The sequence below is a fragment of the Homo sapiens genome, chromosome 6 (assembly GCF_000001405.40).
Source record: "Homo sapiens chromosome 6, GRCh38.p14 Primary Assembly".
Classification (NCBI taxonomy): domain Eukaryota; kingdom Metazoa; phylum Chordata; class Mammalia; order Primates; family Hominidae; genus Homo; species Homo sapiens.
Genome location: NC_000006.12, coordinates 129,641,059 through 129,657,464, shown reverse-complemented (window position 1 = coordinate 129,657,464; position 16,406 = coordinate 129,641,059). Strand labels below are relative to the sequence as shown.

Below are 16,406 nucleotides of genomic sequence, written 5' to 3'. Positions count from 1 at the left end.
CCCAACATGTATTAAGTTGTTTTTTTTTTTTTTTTAATTTCAAAAATGGTGACAATGAGTGTGTAAAATGCCAGCTCACTCCAATTAAGAAAACATGCAAATTACCTCTCTTTGATCAGTAGTTACTACTGAAGAGACTAAACTAGTTACTATCCCCTTTTATTAGCATAATATTAATGCAAATGATCAGCAAAGCCTTTCTTAAAAAGAAACAAGAACCATGGAAAGCAATTAATAACAGTGCTAATTTCCTCAGGAAGCAAAAAACATTTATGATTAGGCTTTTAACTTTGGTATCTGTGCCAAGGACTTCCCACCTGGGCCTAAATATGTACCTGTTTATAAAATTAATGTCAACTTGGAGCTTTCATTTGCAGAGTAAGAGCCAATCTGAAAAAGGCCCAATGGAAAAATTTCAGAACAAAGATGATATGCTATTATCTGTAGGTACTTCATGATTTGGATGTCAATAAGAATGTGTACTTCAGGTTGTATTTATAAGACATTGCTTTTTAAAATACAGGGGAAAAAAGTAAAGGAGTAAAACTCATTGGCCAACTCAAGGTATGATAAAGGACTGCCTTAAACTTTTCCCAGGAGGGGATTAATATAAAGAGGACACTGATTACTTCTTTATTTGCTCAGAGGAAATGGGCTTAAGTTAGAGGGAAATAAAATTGAATCAAACAAGACACTGTTGGCTCTGGGAGAGCTTTATTAAATTAAAATGAGGCATAGCAAAAGACTGGAATCTCCCTTCTCACCTCCTCTTACTGTGCTATTGATATTTTTTTTTATTTTTTATTTTTTATTATTTTTTTGAGACGGAATCTCGCTTTGTCGCCCAGGCTGGAGTGCAGTGGTGCGATCTCGGCTCACTGCAACCTCCGCCTCCCGGGTTCTTCAAGCGATTCTTCTGCCTCAGCTTCCCAAGTAGCTGGGATTATAGGCGCGTACCACCATGCCCAGCTAACTTTTGTATTTTTAGTAGAGACGGGGTTTCACCATATTGGCCTAGCTGGTCTTGAACTCCTGACCTCGTGATCCACCGCCTGGGCCTCCCAAAGTGCTGGGATTACAGGCATGAGCCACCGCACCTGGCCTACTGTGCTACTGACATTTTTAAGCACTTTTTGGCATCTTGTCCTTGCCTATGTTTAACTAGCAGTGAGCACTGCAACACCTGTTGTTTGTCCCACTCATATGGTGTGAAGCCAGGCTGCCCTGTATTACTGTTTCCCTACATATTTTATCTCCTCTATCAAAATGTAGATTCAGAGATCAGTGGTAAAGCCCTGTGCTTCTTTGGACTTCAAACATCAGCATGTATAGTTGCCTTGCAATTAATAGGGAGTCAGTAGTTGTTGAATGAATGTGTGAATCACAGCTTTAGTGATCTGTTTATTATTAACAAGCAAGAACTCAAGTTCTATAGTATCACTCCATCAAAACATTGAATCATTGACTTCATTCCAGTTTCACTGTTTTTTTCAGTGTCTCCTGTGTTACTTGAAATGGAAAATGTATATTATGTGGGTGAAGTTCTTTTTAAAACCATAACTGCAATGATTTTTATAATAAAACCTAAGTGCATAATTCTGATTAATATCTGTAATGAGAGAAGACCAATGAATAAATGTAGGCATTGTCCAGTAAAACTGTATTCATAAAACTATTGCATTAAGAAATTAGCATTTCTCTATTAGATTGGTTGGCGTATGAAAGTTTGTTTAGAGTTTAACAATATTTGTCTTATAAAAACTGCATTTTACTTTACGGAACTGGCTTTTGCAAATAACTGAAGTCATTCATGAGGTAAGAGCCTTTAACAATTGGCCCTCAAACACCTGAGTTAAAAAAAAAAGAACAAGAAAAAGTTCTAAGTCTTTGATCTTTACCTTAGAGTATCTGACAACCTTGATCTTTCTGTAGACTTATTCTGGCAAGATGGTAAAGGAAGTTCTATTTTTGATGCTGTCATCTACACTGGCTTCCATGGCTGTGATACAGCATAAATACTGACTTCTGCCCTGGAGGATATTACATGCTCTTAATCCTTTCATCATCTTTTATAACTTTATGGTCTCTACAGGCTCTGTTTTCTTTTCTTTTCTTTTCTTTTCTTTTTTTTTTTTTTTTTTTTTTTTGAGAGAGTTTTGCTCTTGTCACCCAGGCTGGAGTGCAATGGCATGATCTCAGCTCACCGCAACCTCCATCTCCCAGGTTCAAGCAATTCTCCTGCCTCAGCCTCCCGAGTAGCTGGGATTACAGGCATGCACCACCACACCTGGCTAATTTTGTATTTTAGTAGAGATGGGGTTTCTCCATGTTGGTCAGGCTGGTCTCGAACTCCTGAGCTCAGGTGATCTGCCCGCCTTGGCCTCCCAAAGTGCTGGGCTTACAGGCGTGAGCCACCGCACCCGGCCGAGCCTCTCCTTTCCGTTCAATAGCTCATTAACTAATCTCTTCTGAAGTGATGGATTTCTGACACAACAGTTCTTTCTTCCACCTCTCTTTCCTGACAAGCAGGGGCATGGGTAGCTCAGACCTCTGCTGAGGTTCAGTCGAGGTCCTGGGAGCCTTGGCCGGTGCAGAATTTAGGGCTCAGGAAAGTGATGTAGCAGACAGCATTTTGGGGAGAAGTAGAAATCAGTCAACTTGGATCATTTCTTTATAGGAACTGGGCAGAGAGGAGGATCCAGGTGTGTAGCGATGGGAAAAGTAGAGGAGAACCAGAGGGATGGAAATGGAAGACTAGAGGCGGAAGTCCTTGAATGGGACACTGATACAGAATCAGCTTTCTATAGAGTGCCAAGACAGCGTTGGCTGTAGCTAGCGGGGCAACGCTTGAGGCCATGAACTACTTACGCTCTTCTTCAGCTGTTTCAGATCCCCACAGGGAATGACATTTTGGAACCTGATGCCATATTGCTTTTGGTTAAGTGGGAATTTTGCTACTCCATGTGAAAAATAGGTAAGCAGTAGGCTAGTGTAAGCCTGGTAATGAGCCCGAGACTAAGGGTTGGAAAGTAGAGATATTTCTTAAGGATCAGGACAGAAATTAAGCTAGGACAGGGTCATAAACTTCCAGCTTCTGGGGTTTAATCCGCCTAGAATTTGATGTGTCTGTGGGTGGCATTTGCTGGAGCTCAGTATGCCCATATTGTGCTAGATGATGTGGCATTGCACAAGAATGGCATTAACTGTGTTTCCTTATTAAAAGTGTTTTTCTCTACCGTCTACCTCTCCTCCCCTCACCTTTTTCAGGTTCCCACAATCCCTTCCTGTAAAACCTTTGTCCGTCCCTCATATTCATGTTAGGCCTCACTGCCCTATGAGCTCTGTTCCTATCCTCTAAACAAAGCTCAGTGGCTTTTACTGAAAATGCTTGTTTTTGTGAGGTGTGTGTGTGTATGTTTTTCCAGACAGGGTCTCGCTCTGTCACCCAGGCTGAAGGGCTGTGATATGATCATAGCTCACTGTAGCCTTGAAGTTCTGGGCTCAAGGGATCCTCTCACCTCAGCCTCCTGAGTAGCTGGGACTACAGTCACATGCCACTGTGCCTGGCTAATTGTTTTATTTTTTGTAGAGACAATGTCTCACTATGTTGCCCAGGCTGGTGAGTCGGATTTTTTTTTTTTCTTCAAATGTTAAGGTTAAATTCCCTGCCCTAACCCACAAGTAGCTTTTTGCATGTGGAAATTGTCTTTAGTTCTTGTTTTATATTTCATGTATCTTTTAGGCTGCTTGCATTCACATCTGTCATGGGCTCAGCATTTCAAACATGCTAAGAAAAAAGTGGCTTTAGATAATCTCACTTAAGAAAGATTGTTTTGTAGTAGTATTCACATATTCTACTTTGTTACTGACTGCTGAAGACATTTAGTAGAAAACATAAATGAATTGTTTCTAAGCTTGGCTAAATTATTTGCTTGGCTGGAAGTTATTTCTCCATCCTCTCTGTCCCCCTAGTAGAGCTGACTTTTAGTACCTTGCATATAAAAACACTTCCCGGCCTTCTATACTTACCAGTGGAGCATTGTAATGTTTGAAGTTGATTTTGAGCTACTCATAAAATTACAGTTATAGCATAAAGGAAGCAGTTTTCTTTTTTCCTATCTAGGTATTTACCACGGAAGTGCTGCTGTTTTTAATTGTTCTATTACTATTTACCAACATTACTTTATAAATATCTTCTCCATTTATATTTTCTAACATAAACACAAATCTCCTTTCACTTTTAATATTTTCATCCAGTGTTTGTCTGTGTTTTTTCTTTTGCTGGCTGGTGGAATGTTGGTTTTATACTCCCCTACTCTCATTGAGATATGAGATGATTTCTCTACCTTATTGCAGTGGATAATCACAAAGAACTGAGAAGAGTTTAATAATAATGCCCATGTCTCTTTCATAATATGGTGTGTATGTAGCTTTCGTTATTATCAGATTTTTTTTTAAATTCACCATTGCCTTGTGTTGATGTTTTTATTAGCATAGAAAGTTATATGAAAGTCCTACTGAAGGGCAATATATTTGCTATAGGAAATAAGGAAAACCACGATTATATTCAGTACTATTCTAACATTAAATTTCAAAACATTGTTTATAATTTTGTGTTATGTCAACAAGTATTTTGTTAGTGCTTATTTCATGACAGGTATTATGAATCAATAGCAACTTTTTATGAACTGAAGGGATATCAGAGCATTATAATTTATAAATCTGTAGTGAGTCAGCAGCCAGAATGAAATTCCTGGATGATATTTAAATACTTTTCTTGGATCCCAGATCTTGAAGCATATTAAGTCTTATATGTGAGGGAATTTGTATCTTGGCGTAAATTTATCTGTATTGCATGTTTAAGGTGTGTTGGCAAACTGTAGTGATGAGATTCTGAACTAATAGAAATTATGATGGGGGAATTTTGAATGACCAGTTCAAGAATATGAGGGGAGGTGGAAAAACCTTTAATCTTCACTAGTGAATCTTTCTTCATTTCATCCCTGAAAATGTCTTCAGGACTTGATAGATTTCTCAGAAAGGAAACAGGAGCACAGCTTTGAAACTGAAAAGGTGAAGAATTTGATTTGGCGAGAACAATAAAAATGAATGGGTAAAGGTTGACAAAAATTTAGATGTGATCACTACCTCTGAAGCTACATGATTGCTGTGAAACAAGAACTGAGTACTAGACAGTTGTTCTGAGGAAGCTGGCCTCCATCTTGGGAAAGAACAACTTTAATAATGGACTGCGAGGGGGCTTCAGGCAAACCCTGGAGAACTTCAGAAACAGACCAGGGGAGGGGCAGGGATGCCAGGAAGGGTGTCTCAGTCTGTCTGTGCTGTTGTAACAAAATGCCATCAACTAGGTGGCCTATAAACAACAGAAATGTATTTCTCACAGTTTCAGAAACTGGAAAGTTCAAGATCAAAGGGCTGGTGGATTGGGTGTCTGGAAGGGCTGGCTTTCTCACGGATGGCACCTTCTCACCATGTCCTTCACATTGTGGAAGAGGCGAGGCTGCCATCTGGGGCCTCCTTTATAAGAGCATGAATCCCCTCCCTAAGGGTTCCATTTTTCTAATAGCATCTCCTTGAGAGTTAGGATTTCAGTATATGAATTTGGTGGGGAATAAGTAGCATTTAGGCCAGAGCAAGGAGCTATAGATGTTAACCTCAAATTATTGGTCTAAATCTCAGGAATTAATTGAGCAGGGGATGACTGGAGAACGAGTGGATAACAGTGGCAGAGAGGAGATGAAATTCTTACTGAAGAAGGAATGGTGAACCACCGCAGGGCCTGAGGAGTGTTAGGGACAATCCTGAAGTAAAGGCCATGACCTGGAGGCCTATGCTGGAAAGAGTTGTCTGGGCCACTAGTTCAGTGAGGAACTGGAAAATTCCACCCATCACTGGTGCTGGTGTCTTTTGTCATCTACCTCACACTAAATGTTTGAAGAGCTTGGTTAAAGCAACATCTGTGATAAGGCACCCAACCAGAGAGTAAGGCATTCAGTAAATATTTATTTGTTTTAAAGATTAAAGTGATGAATGGAATTATGGAATGTGTGCTTAAAAAAACTCTGAGCCGAAACTTGTTTGTAATTTAATATTAGTTACAATCTCATATGCAACCACAGCCCTTCCTTTTGTATGTTTCTGTTTCCTTTAGGAAACCTACTTGTAGACTAAACATCCACAAGTAACATCATGGAGACATAGAACATTTACCTTATTAATTTTAGAGTTTCCTAATGACTGATTTCTTTACTATCTGCTTTTCATCCCTCTCTTACTTCTTTGTAGTTTTGTGCAATTAAATAAGAAATGCCTTAGAAATTATTTTAGAGGCAGTAGTACTTTAATAATTGAACAGTTCACCAACATCTGCTATGGCAGTTTGCTCGAAGCCAGGGATACTAAGAGGAAAAAAAAGAAAAAAGAAACATAGATTCTTGCCCCCAAGGAACACATAATTTAATGGTGGGGACACACGCACAAGCAGATCATCACAGCGTAGGATGTGGTAAGGAATGCGGGGAGGCTGCAGAAGCAAGCTTATTCCAGCCCCACAGAGAAAGGTACTGAGATATGAAATTGAGTAATGACAGCTGGAAAACAGATCAAACTGGAGAGCCTATGCTCCAAGTGCAAGGTAGCTACTGGTGTTTAATTTCCAGGTGGCTCTACAGCTGGGCAGAACAAGAAAAAGATAGAGGGTCCTGGAGAAAGAACATCAGGTCCAGGGTATCAGGTGGATGCAAGTCATGGTGACAGATAATAGAATGAAGTGGATATGCTTTGAACTAATGTTCCAAGATCCTGAGATTTTTATGTCAAAGTCCCACTACAGATACCTTCATCCTTGTCTTGGAAGATGATTTTGACATTAAAATCCTAGGTTCCCATTTGGCTACTTGTTGAGTTGTATCTCCAATGGAGGAGGAAAAACTGCTTCCTGAGAGATTTGGCAAGCTCAGGAACAAAGAAGATCTCACTTCTACCCAGAACCAGAGCTCTAAAGCAAGAAACCTATGTCTGGCCAGTGATAGTCTACTATTTTCCCGTATATGTTCCTTGTGTCTGTATCTAAAAAGGAAGTGAATTTTTGAAACCTGCCTCGGCTGTCTCCTGCCTTTCCCATATTCGTTTCGTTCTAGGCCTTCCCTCCCTTTTTTCTACAAGACCTGGTGGTGGTTACTATGTCCCTATTCTTTTAGTGATGTCAAGAAGTAGAGTGAGGCAAGGTGCAGTGACTCACGCCTGTGATCTCAGCACTTTGGGAGGCCTAGGTGGGCAGATCACCTGAGGTCGGGAGTTCGAGACCAGCCTGACCAACATGGAGAAACCCTGTCTCTACTAAAAATACAAAAAAAAAAAAAAAATTAGCCAGGTGTGGTGGCACATGTGTGTAATCCCAGCTACTCGGGAGACTGAGGCAGGAGAATAACTTGAACCCGGGAGGTGGAGGTTGTGGTGAGCCGAGATCACGCCATTGCACTACAGCCTGGACAACAAGAGTGGAACTCCGTCTCCAAAAAAAAAAAAAACAAAAAAAAAGAAGACGAAGTAGAGTGAAAGCCGCAACGATAAATAACAAACAAAAAACCCAGCACCTATGAATTGGTTGTGTCATATATTTCTCTAGAAGTGATAAAGCCAAGTTTCCAAAGCTAGTTCTTAACAGTGTCATTAATGGGCTTGTCTTCTCAGTTTTGCTTAGGTAATGTGACATAAACAGGATAATCAGGTCATTTGCTTATTGTTCTGCTGAGGATTTTTTTTTTTTCTTTTCTACCCACTGTCAAAAGTGAGTAGCAAAAAACAAAGCAAGAAGTGGGTGAACACTGAAAAACTATAAAGCACTATACAAGATGTTAAGTGACTTTTTTTTTTTTTTTTTTTTTTTTTGGAGACAGAGACTTGCTCTGTTGCCAGGCTGGAGTGCAGTGGCATGATCTTGGCTCACTGCAACCTCTGCCTCCCGGGTTCCAGCAATTCTCCTGCCTCAGCCTCCAGAGTAGCTGGGACTACAGGCGTGCGCCACTACACCCAGCTAATTTTTGTATTTTTAATAGAGACGAGGTTTCGCCCTGTTGGCCAGGCTGATCTCAATCTCCTGACCTCGTGATTTGCCCGCCTCGGCCTCCCGAAGTGCTGGGATTACAGGCGTGAGTCACCGCACCTGGCCGCGACTTTTATTTTTAAAGAAAAGGAAAGCTGAAAGAAATAAGTAAATTTCATTTTTTTCCCAAAATGAAAAGGGTAAGATATGCAAAGAGGAAAAGAAGTAAGTTTCTGTGAAATTCAGTACATCCTTAAGACTATAGCATTTGAGTCAGATAGAAGAGATTAGATTCTTTCTCTGGGTTCTGATGGTTGCATGGGTGTGTGTGGGGCGAGTGATGTGGTATTGCTTTCTAATCAACTTCTTACTGCCTTCAGGCATTATCAGTGTTCTTTCTTCCTGGATGTCAGAGCCACTTCTAATAATGACTGCTTTCAGCTAAACAACAGTAGGCATTCTCTTCGAAGGGGTAAAAATGACTTGGGTCATTTGTAGGCTGCAGCTCTTCATAGTCATTCAAATTCAGCATATTCTGATGGACAAGGCCATTACACAGTATTAATAGCTTTACCATCTCACCATGATAGTGATTACAGTAGTTCTTTAATATCGCTGCTGAAATGAAAGAGATAAATCTACACATGAGAAACATGCTTTTTTTTTCTAACATAGAGATAATGTAAAGACACAGTATTAAATTTTAAAATTTCAAAATTTACAAAACAAAGTTTCTTAAAAAACAGAATATTTAAAGTTATGCCCAGCATGACACAATTTTTTTTTTTTAAATAGAGATGTGTGTCTTATTAGTTGCCCAGGCTGGTCTTGAACTTCTGGGCTCAAGCACTCTTCCCACCTCAGCCTCCCAAAGTGGTGGGATTACAAGTGTAAGCCACTGTGCCTGGCCACAAACCATATTTTAGAAAGTGCACTGGACAGGCACAGTGGCTTACACCTGTAATCCCAACACTTTGGGAGGCTAAGACAGGAGGATTGCCTGAGGCCAGGAGTTCCAGACCAGCCTTGGCAATACAAGGAGACTCTGTCTCTACAAAAAGTTAGCCAGGTGAAGTGGTGTGTGCCTGTAGTCCCACCTACTCAGGGAGGCTAAGTTGGGAGGATCGCTTGAGCCCAGGAGCTTGAGGCTGCAGTGAGCTATGATTGTGGACTGCACTTCAGCCTGGGAGACACAGCGAGACCCCATCTCAAAAAACCAAAAAAATTGAAAAATTAAAAAAAAAAGTGCATTGGAAAAGAATTCTCATCCTTTTTAAAAAAATATGGTTTGATTTTTAAATGTATTTTTTTCTTGATAAATGTAATGGTCATTTGAAAGTGCAAATTATAGACTGTGTCAACAAGATTACTTTTGCCTTGGCTATACGCAATACAAACTCAGAAAGATTGATGCATCTGGGGAAAACAAAGTAAATCCTATCCTTTTTAGTCTGTTTGACATATTAAAGTGACCACTGAAGAAGAAATGAGGGCATTAATCTCGATTCTATCACCCCTTTGCTGGGTAAAATTGGGGAAGATTTAACCTTGAGGCCTCATTATCTCATCTAGAAAATAATGGGATAGGTTTAAATCTCTGAGGTGCAATAGCATTCTAATGTTTACACTTCAATACATATGGCTTCTTCTAAAATATTCTTAGTCATTATGGTTTATATGTCATGATCTGAGGAAGAACCCCCACCCCACTGCCTTTTTTTTTTTTACACATTAAAACAGAACGAAGCCAAAACAAAAATAAATTTTATTCTTCTGTCTTATACTGTATGTATATCCCAACTCAGTCACTTCTTGTCCTGCATGGAAATAAAAGTGGGATAGGGAACATGAAAGAAAGTATATCGTTTTTAGAAAGGATCTTATAAGAAAACAAAACAAAACAGGTGCTAGGATCAGAGGTCTTCAAGAAAGCTGACTTTGGGGCACAAAAATGCCTCGAAGGGTCAGAAGCAGGAGACAGACTGGATAGAAAGCATCACGATAGGACTTTAAACAGGGTAGGGAACACAAGGTAGAAATTGGACCAGATAGTTAAATATATGAACTCAGAAGAAACATCCTACTTACAAATAAATCTGCCCTGAAGGAGTTTTAGGTAGAGGGTAGGGATGACAAAGGCACATTAAGGCAATTTTCAAATATACTGGCCAAAAGGGGATGCCCAGAGAGAACTTCTGCCCCTTACACATAATGGACACCAGCAAATGATTAACAGTATTGGCAAGGGAGGGGTTTTTTTTAAAGACATTTTAATTCTTTGTCATTATAGTATAAATTAAATATGGATATATTGGAATAAGTCCCAGTTTTTGTGAAAAGATACAGAACTAAACAAAAACAAAGAAATAAGTCCAGTCACTAGGAAAGCAAGTCTGTTTCTCTCAGAGGGCTTTCTGGAGTTTTGCCCATAGAATTGAAACGTGCATTTTCAGACCCATTATGTGTTGTTTTTGAGAATTCTTAAAACAGTGGTTTTCAAAGCGTGGTCTGGGAACACCTGAGGCTCTCCAGACCCTTTCAGGTGTCTAGGAGAGTAAAACTGTTTTCATAATAACGCTAAGATGTTATTTGCCTCTTTCACTCTCACTCTCTCATGAGAATACAGTGGAGTTTCCCAGAGACGACATGAACTGTAATATTGTAAAAGATTGAACGCAGAAGCAGATGTAAGAATCCAGATGTCTTCTATTAAGCTTGACATTAAAGGCAGTTTCAAAAATATAAAACAGTGCTACTCATCTCACTATTTTTATTTGAAAAATGGCCTTTTTAATGTTATCTATGTGAAGATGTTTATTCTTAAGTGAATAGCATTTAAAATATTTTGTTTCTGCGTTTAATATTATAAATATCAGTAGATATCGCCTACATAAGCCAAAGCTCTTTGAGGGTCTTAGAACAATCTTAAGTGTGTAAAGGAGTCCTGAGACCACAAAGCTTGAGAATATTCTAGAGGATATGTGATTCCTCTAGACCTTATTAAACAGTGGGAGGGGCAGTTAGTACAGCACAAATTTACCTAGGGGACCTTTTTCATGGTTACCTATGAGGCACTTCAGTAAGAATTTTCACAACAAACAAAGCAAGCAAGGCCATTGTTATTCTTCCCATTTTTTAGATAGGAAAAGTGAGGAGTAGAGAAAGTGAGTGATTTACCAAAGATTGCAGTTAAGTAGAGCTGGAATCATTTGGTACTTAGACTCCCAGTTCCATATGTTTCCATTTCATTTTGCTGACTGAGCTGACTGCATTGATAGCAGAATAAATCATCAATCTTCTAGCTGACCTCAGTATAATCAATGGCAACCCCCACCTCTTTGTAAAGAAAAAATGTCAGACCAGTTTAATATTTGCTATGACAAAATAAATAACAGGCATTATTACTCATACCCTGAATGATATCAGTGCCTTTGAAATTCACTGACCAGGTGGAAAATGTATCACGGGAAAATGGGATAGCATATACCTTGGGAAAATACAACAAAACAAAGCCCTCATTTTTGTAAACAGAGCATGGAGGACATGCTAGCAAGATGGAAAAGAAGATTCCAGGAAGGCCCATCAGGATCTGTAAAGTGAATATTTGCTTGTGATGTGAGTGTTCATGGTAAAAAAAGGCAAAATGATTATACTCTGGTGTATTGGAAAGAGCGTGACTTGTACAGCAAGCTAGGAAGCGATTCTTTATAGAGCAACTCTGGCAACTTCCTTTAGAGGACAGCGTCTAGTTCTGTCATTATACTTGTAAAAGGTGAGAAATGCGGGAGCTTCTGAAGCATATCCATGGCACGATTAGCACACAGAATTCTGGAGGGAGAGGGAGGAGGAAGGAACTTGGAATAATTGCTTGCTAGAAAGTCAGGGAGGGGTCACTGGTAGTTGCCTGTGGTATAAACTGTGTGTTTCTTTGATTTCAACACCATGTGTCAACTTGGATCTTTTGGAAATATAAAATATTTCTGCTCTGTACTTCATTACATCTAGCAGATGTTGCTTTATGTTTTTGAACCCCATTTGCAGAATGAACATGATATCATATAACATACTCCTAAAAACAGAAAAGAGGAAACTAGTTAACTGGCCTCTTAGCAGAACAGTTTTAGGAAGGTCCAGACTTTTAGTCACTGCCTGTCTGAAGTACAAAAGTAGAATATATTCTACAAAGAAAAGAAGTAACACAACATGTTCATTGATGTAAACTGAAGGAATGTTCACTTACATTTTTAGACAAATTAAAAAATACGTGGCAGGTTGACCAAGGAGGGTAGTCTATTACTGAATGGCTGTCTCCTTCCCACTCCTCATCCCCTCTTATTTAAAAATGAAAATGTGTTCTTGCAGTATTTACCAGTGATCAAAAAAAAATACAGACAAAAGAAAAAGAAAATTCCTCTTTTCCATGACTCAGTATTTTTAGGTTATCACAAACCTATTCAGCTTCTGAATCTTATTAAAGTCAAAATATTGAGTCAATTCATCAGCACTAAGCTATTCAATTTTTGCTTTATGCATGTTTTGAAAGCAAGGCTTGATATAGATGGTGTATTTATGTAACAATGGTGTTACTCAATGACCTTGCATTTTTCTGCACATGCTATCTTAATGGAAATTTACTGGAAAATTCTTGCCAGAATAAACACATTCCTTCAGGAGTGAAAGGCTTAATGTACTTCTAGTTCAACTGCACCTTTTTCCCTTGAGCAGATAAACCCAATTATTTGGCGTTAGTCATTATACTTCACACAGTTTACAGTACTTATTGTGGTCTCACAGGGGGGTAAGAGTTAAAGGAGACAGAAGTAAGGTGGTCAATTTCACACTATGAGAGAGAAAACAAAAGGATAAGGCATCTGTCTATTTGACATGCAATACGAAAAATGAAGCTGGCAGTCATCTGTAAATTAACATTAGCTATCCTGGTAAGGCAGAAGTAAGGAATATGAACAATACAGATAAGTTGAGCTGCTGAACCAGAAATTTAAAAATATATATTTTTTATTTTTAAGAGAGGGATGACTTTCTCATTTACATGTTAATTTAAGAATCAGGAGTGAAAACTCTACAAGAAAAATACTGGCTATGTAGTGGCCATTGGGGCCGGATATGGGGACCCAGGTGGAATACAGAGATGTAAACAGGACGATTGAGGCCAGGGAAGGAGGAAGTACCCCTTGAATTAAGGGATGAAGAAGGCAAACAATGAACAATGGAGACTTAAGGAAAGAGATTCACAAACATGTCTAGACTTAGGCTTGTTGGCCCCTGTCCTAATTCCCACCCATCGCCACCCCAAGGTTGCTACTGGGGAGAGAGTATAGTGATTGTTTATTCATGTATGCAACCAGCATTAATAAAGTTTGTAATCAAGGCAGGAAGAATCATCTTTAAAGGAATAAAACTGGCTTATTAGCATATTAAAGCTAAGTGCTCAGTTATACTGCATTTATTTGCAGCAATAAACAATTAAGTTCCTTGCCTTTTTCTAACCAGTTGGAATTAAGCTGCTGGATAGATTCGCCCAGAGTTTAGTGACCCTCTCCCTTATGTACTATTAAAATCCTACTATTTTAAACAATTTTGGGAAAGGTTAGTTTAAATGTGAATGTTCACACACTATTATTTTGTTGTAATTTTAAAATTATTTTCAATATGTACAGTAAGTAAAACCAATCTGGCAAACAAAGAATTACTTCCTGGAAGTCCTTCTTGAGAGAAGCAATCTGAAAATTAGAATAGCAAAACAGTTATTCAACTATTGTCCTCACTCAAATTGTATTCTTTAAAAAAATTTATTGTTAGTCCATTCTCACGCTGCTTGTAAAGACATACCTGAGACTGGGTAATTTGTAAAGGGAAGAGGTTTAATTGACTCACAGTTCAGTATGGCTGGGGAAGCCTCAGGAAACTTAAATCATGGCAGAAAGGGAGGCAAACACACCCTTATTCACATGATGGCAACAAGGAGAAGTAACAAGCCAAAAGGGGAAAAGCCCCTTATGAAACCATCAGATCTCATGACAACTCACTCACTATCACGAGAACAGCATGAAAGTAACTGCCCCCATGATTAAATTACCTCCTGTTGGGTCCCCCCAGGACTCATGGGGCTTATGGGTACTACAATTCAAGATGAGATTTGGGTGGGGACATAGCCAAACCATATCAACCGTATATAAAGGAAAGGCATCAAAGCTGAAAAATTTCTTCTTTTAAGGAATCGGGCATGGTCTTCTCTATAAATAATAATAAAACAAAAAATTATTTTATTATATATAGGTTTTTATTATAAGCTCCTTTAATTCAATTTTAGAAGTAGGTAAGATATGAATTATAACAAAAAACATTGTTTACTTGAAGTTATACAAATACTCTTATTTATTCAATTTATTCTTCATAGATAATATCTGAGAGAGAAATGTTTGAGGTAATTCCAAGCTATTCAGAATTGCTAATAAATGAGTTTGTACCCCAGTTTTGAATTTTTAATACATATAAATCATGGGTCCATTTATAAATAAAGATTAGAAATTTCTTTCTACAGTAGATTATAACAGCAAACTTAAATCATCCTATTTATATTTTGATTTCAAAAATAAAATGGAAATTCAAATAGTGCTTCATCGGTTGAAGATATTTGCTGTATAAGAGTTGACTAAGTTTGGTTTATGAATATAAATGATAAACACAAGAATTATATAAAATTCATTCCCAATTAATAGTCTGTAATCAAGATTTAATGTGTTGCTTTTTAAAAACAAAGTTTCAGGTTTAAATGAGTCTTATGCCTGGGTGTGGTGGCTCATGCCTTTAATCTCAGTGCTTTGGGAGGTTGAGGTGGGAGGATCAGTTGAGGATCATTTGAGGCCAGGAGTTTCAGACCAACCTGGGCAACACAGCAAGACCCCATGTCTGCCAAAAAAAAAAAAATTAGCTGGGCAATATGGTATATACCTGTAGTAGTAGCTCCTCAGGAGACTGAGGTGGGAAGATCACTTGAGCCCAGTAATTTGGAATTAAAGTGAGCTATGGTCACATTGGTGCACTCAAACCTTGGCAACAGAGCAAGACCTTGTCGCTAAAAAATATATTTGAAAAATGAGTCTTCATTTAATGTAAATGGAAAAATAATTTACCATGTTGCTATTTGTACTTCCCCATACTTTTCTGTGGAGCATGAAACTGTTTATTCTACAAGCATATTATAATCCATAGTAAACTGTTCCAAAATATATATTCCTTTAGTTTTATTAAGGATAACTTAAGGAGTTAATAAATTCTCCAGCTTGTTGCTGTGATGTCTTAGAAATTATACTGCTTCCTTTTGTACTAAAATAAACCATGGGTTCTTTTGAATTTACAGTCGCAGATATGGCCAGTACACTATGAACCAGGAAAGCACCACCATCAAAGTTATGGAGAAGCCTCCATTTGATCGATCAATTTCCCAGGATTCTTTGGATGAACTATCTATGGAAGACTATTGGATAGAACTAGAAAACATCAAGAAATCTAGTGAAAACAGCCAAGAAGATCAAGAGGTGGTTGTTGTCAAAGAGCCTGATGGTAATAACTAACTAAATAAAGCTTTTGTTGTTTGTATATGTATTTATAGGAAATGAATGCATAGAAAGGAAGAGAACAAAAAAAAAATTAAAGCTAGGACCACCAAAAAAAGATACTGCCTTTCAACTTGAAAAATACTTGTTTGAGGCAGATTTATGGATGCAACTGCCAGATACAAGTGGCATAAGTAAGTTAGCTTAGTCATAGATATGGCTGGAATGTTGTTGGCTAAGCTCACTGTATCATAGCTTTTTAGAGTTAGACTTCATCTTTGAAACCATCTAACCTCCCTTTAAATTTCTTCTGTGATGTGGTAGCCACATTGTCATTTGGTCTCTAGTGAGTGCAGATGGTGATAGAGCACTGCTTTGCAGTGAGACTGTTTTTCCAGTGGTCAGTCAGCTTGAGTTCTTTTGATCTTTGTTTTATTGATTTATAATCTGCTGTCCTCTAACTTTGACTCTCTTGCTGTAGTTATGCCTTTGGGACGAACAGAAGAAGGCTCTTCTATTTTTACATGATAGCCTTTCATATACTTGAGAATATTTATCTTGTTCCTAGCCAAGACATTTCTAGAAAGAAAATTCACATAAACCAATTTTTGTGGGTGGTTTTCAAAGACCTGTTGTGGTCCTGGCTATTTTGTCATTCAAAGTATACTTCTCCAGATTGGATGCAACGGCTCATGTTTAGCCAACTAATCTAAAAATATAGAGTTGGACAGTAGATGGTGGCATTACTGTTTTTAGCTTCCATA

The 16,406-nt window shown here is 38.4% G+C and overlaps 1 protein-coding gene across 1 annotated transcript in view, besides 1 other annotated feature; it reads left to right on the top strand.

Annotated features, from left to right (window-relative positions):
* Window positions 1-16,406, top strand: part of ARHGAP18 (Rho GTPase activating protein 18) — a 134,046-nt gene that overhangs the window by 52,713 nt on the left and 64,927 nt on the right. Inside the window, exon 2 of the mRNA NM_033515.3 lies at window positions 15,447-15,649. Within this exon, the coding sequence (NP_277050.2) occupies window positions 15,447-15,649 (203 nt within the window). The remainder of the gene's footprint in view (window positions 1-15,446; window positions 15,650-16,406) is intronic.
* Window positions 10,224-10,303: an enhancer, noted in NCBI's record as "active region_25044". NCBI's record gives its function as "activates an Ori minimal core promoter by ATAC-STARR-seq in GM12878 lymphoblastoid cells {active_cell/tissue: GM12878}" and the evidence as "EXISTENCE:reporter gene assay evidence [ECO:0000049][PMID:35858748]".